This window comes from Homo sapiens, chromosome 10 (assembly GCF_000001405.40).
Source record: "Homo sapiens chromosome 10, GRCh38.p14 Primary Assembly".
In the NCBI taxonomy this organism is placed as follows: domain Eukaryota; kingdom Metazoa; phylum Chordata; class Mammalia; order Primates; family Hominidae; genus Homo; species Homo sapiens.
In genome coordinates this window covers 86,805,577-86,809,630 of record NC_000010.11, presented here as the reverse complement: position 1 = coordinate 86,809,630, position 4,054 = coordinate 86,805,577, and the positions used below count along the sequence as shown (strand labels likewise).

The 4,054-nt window shown below is 39.5% G+C and overlaps 1 protein-coding gene across 35 annotated transcripts in view; it reads right to left on the bottom strand.

Annotated features, from left to right (window-relative positions):
- BMPR1A (bone morphogenetic protein receptor type 1A) overlaps nucleotides 1–4,054 on the bottom strand; it is a 177,082-nt gene that overhangs the window by 123,214 nt on the left and 49,814 nt on the right. The window lies entirely within an intron of this gene.

Here is a 4,054-nt window from a genome sequence, read left to right as displayed (position 1 = left end):
TAAAAAAAGAAAAAAGAGAAAAAAAAAAAAAAAAAGAGGTCGGGTGTGGTGCCTTACTCCTGTAATCCCCGGACTTTGGAAGACTGAGGCAGGAGGATCACTTGAGCCCAGGAATTCAAGACCAGACTGGGCAACATGGCAAAACCGCATCTCGGCAAAATAAAAATACAAAAATTAGCTAGGTGTGATGGCACGCACCTGTAGTCCCGGCTACTTGAGAAGCTGAGGTGGGAGAATCGCTTGAGCATGGGAAGTGGAGGTTGCAGTGAGCTATGATTGTGCCACTGCACTCCAGCCTGGGTGACAGAGTGAGACCCTGTCTCAAAAAAAAAAGGGAGGGGGGCCTGTTTGGGATGATGAAAAAGTTCTGAAAATACATAGTAGTGATAATTCCATGACACTGTAAATATACTTAATGCAACTGGAATTGTATACTTTAAAATGGTTAAGATGGTAAATTTTATGTTATGCATATTTTATAATTTTAATAAAACAGGAGAGGAAAAAAGTCAGGAGACTGATTTTTTTTGCCTTCCCTATCACTGAAATGAGATTTTTCACAATGAATGAACGACTCATAATAAAAGAAGATCAAAACAGATAGGTGAGCACAGGACTCAATATGAGTTCAAGTTCTTTTGTTCCAAGACAGGATTATAATTTACAATTCAAATACTGAGAAACATTCAGGGAAGATAACTGGATCCCTATAAGTAACCTGTGATGAATCAGAGAAACGAAAGATTACTGAAGATGGGCAGGTTTGGTAGCCATCCTGATTTGGGTAGCAGGTGAGAGATGGAAATTCTGGAAACTGAAAACCAGACAAAGTTTGACCATAAATTGAGGCAAAATTCCAATGGTGATTGTAAAGAAATAATCTTTGTACATTTAAGGAAGTGATAATATCAAAACTGTAGCACTTCACAGTTTAAAATCAGTTTTCACCCACATTGTAACTGAATTTCAAGCAATCTCATAACTTAAGTAATATCCTTCTTCCATTTTATGGGAGATAGGGTTCAGACAGGACAAGTGGTTTGTCAATGAGTGGAGAACTAGGATTCAAACTCAGGCCATTGCTTCAAATCTCTTAACTCTTTCGGTGAATTGACGTTACATGAAATAAGTTGAATGGACCAAAGCTCACAGTTCCACCTTTGGAAAATAGAAAACAAAGAGCAAATTAAATCCAAAGTAAGTGGAATAAAAGAAATAAAAATATAATAGTATCAATGATACTGAAAATAGGAAATCAGTAAGAAAAACTAAAAGCTGGTTCTTTGAAAAGATCATAAAATTGATAAGCCTTTAGCTAAGCCAATTAATTAAAAAGATGACACAAATAGCTAGTATCAGAAATGAAAAAAAAGATCACTACAGATCCCTTCTAAATGTACATTAAAAGGATTATAAAGGAATATTATGAACAAACATGATTAAAAATTTGATAATTTAGATGACATGGATCAATTCCTTAAAAGACACAATATGCCAAAACTCACACAAGAAGATATAGATAATCCAAATAGGCCTATATCTATTAAAGATATTGCATCAGTAAGCAGTAACCTTCCAAAACAGAAAACAACAGGCCCAAATGAGTTCTGCTGAGGTGGGTGGATTGCCTGAGGTCAAGAATTCAAGACCAGCCTGACCAACATGGTGAAACCCCGTCTCTACTAAAAATACAAAAATTAGCCGGGCATGGAGGTGTGCGCCTGTAATCCCAGCTTGTAGGGAGGCTAAAGCAGGAAAACTGCTTGAATTCAGGAGGCAGAGGTTGCAGTGAGCCAAGACAGTGCCACTGCACTCCAGCCTGGGCAACAGAGTGCAACTCCGTCTCAAAAGGAAAAAAAACCACAACTATAGAACAGTATCTTGATAGAGATTACAGAAGCGTATGCACTGTCAAAACAGATTAAACGGAATACATAAGAAAGATGGGGACTGGGCATGGTGGCATATGCCTGTAATCCCAGCTCTTTGGGAGACTGAGGTAGGAGAATTGCTTGAGGCCAGGAATTCAAGACCAGACTAGCCAACATAGCAAGACTCTGTCTCTACACAAAAAATTTAAAAATCTGCCAGGCATGGTGGCATACATCTGTAACCCCAGCTACTCAGGAGGCTGAGGCAGGAGGACCGCTTGAGCCTAGAAGTTCAAGGCTACAATGAGCTATGATCATGTCACTGCACTCCAGCCTGGATGAGAGAGAGAGATTCTGTGTCAGATAAACAAGTAAGTCAAAAAAGAACTATGCATTTCACTAAATACACAAATCCATAAATTATACTTCAATTTTTTTAAATTAAAAATAAACTGGAAATGAAATTAGAATGAAATGGACTGGGGAAAGGCCAAAAAAATCCTGAGGGGTTGGTTTAGAATTAGAAGTATTAGTATAAACTAAAAATGATTTTAAAGATAGTATGTTAAAAAATAATAGTCTATTTCCTAGATACATTTGTTGAAAGTGGCTAGAACCAATGACACCCCAGTATCAATGAGAACACCTAAGACCCAGATCTTGGTTTCTATATATTGAATCCCACTAACAGAAACCAGGGCTCCTTAGAGACATGACTGATTCTGGGGATGGGGCAAAGAAGGTCCTATAGAAGCCTGGAACATCACTATGGCATAAAGAAGTGCTCTTTATTTTTTTTTAAAGGGAAGAAAAAATGACAAGGCCATATCCAAAGGACACGAGAGCCGGAATGAAGAGACTCCCGCTATCAAAATCTGGGACAACATGAACCTCAGAAAACATAAGGGCTGGTCAGGTACAGTGGCTCATGCCTGTAATCCCAGGACTTTGGGAGGCCGACACAGGCAGATCCCTTGAGCCCAGGAGTATCAAGCCTGGCCAACATGGTGAAACCCCCATTTATACTTTAAAAAAAAAAATTTCGTCAGGTTTGGTGGTGTGCACCTGTAGTTCCAGCTACTTGGGAGGCTGAGATGGGAGGATCAACTGAGTCTGGGAGGTGAAGGCTGTAGAGAGCTGTGATCGCACCACCACACTGTAGTCTGGGCAACAGGAGTGAGACCCTGATGAAAAAAATCCATAAGGACTATAACTCATTGAACGAAATGGAGTCTATCACTCCATAGTGATGACAACTAAATAGATAAATCAAATACATACATAAGGGAGTAAGAAGGGTTCTTACAGAATTCAGAATGATAAATGTAGAACTAGTGATGAAAGTGGAAAAATCACCATTCTACAACTATAAATAGTCAAGACCAATTAAATCTGCAGGGGAGCAGTGAATTTTATGAGGAATAAGAAATTTGTGTGGTCTTGAAGTTTCTCCCCACAGACTGCTTACTAGTTACAAGAGGGAAAACAGTAATTATAGAGAAGAGAAACTGGAAAACACCTTGACCAGGTAATCAAAATTAACATGACCAATGACAGGTAGGACAGACATAGTATGCTTCTGATACCCTAGAAGGACACGTCGTCATTTATGTAGACTTCTGGCCAGAGATGCATCACCTGAATCTAATAATGAGAAAATGCCAAGCCCAAAGTGAGGAATATTCTAGAAAATAACTGGCCTGGTGTTCTTCAAAAATGTTGATGTCATGAAACACAACAGGTGGCTAAGGAACTGCTTCAGAGAGAAGGAGATTAAAGAGGCAGGACAACCAAATGCAATATGTGACTCCAGATTGAATCCTCCACTGGAAGGGAAAAATGCTTTAAAAAAAAAAAAAAAACACCTCAGTTGGGCCAACTGACAAAACTGGAATACAGACTGCAGATCAAAGTGCCGCCTCAATGTTAAACTCCCTGAATTTGATAACTGAAGAATGATTACACAGAATATCCATGTCCTTAGAAAATGAAAGCTGAAGGCTGGGCACAGTAGCTCATACCTGTAATCCCAGCATTTTGGGAGGCCGAGGCAGGTGGATCATGAGGTCAGAAGATCGAGACCATCCTGGCTAACATGGCAAAACCCCGTCTCTACTAAAAATACAAAAAATTAGCCCAGCGTGGTGGCACGCGCCTGTAGTCCTAGCTACTCGGGAGGCTGA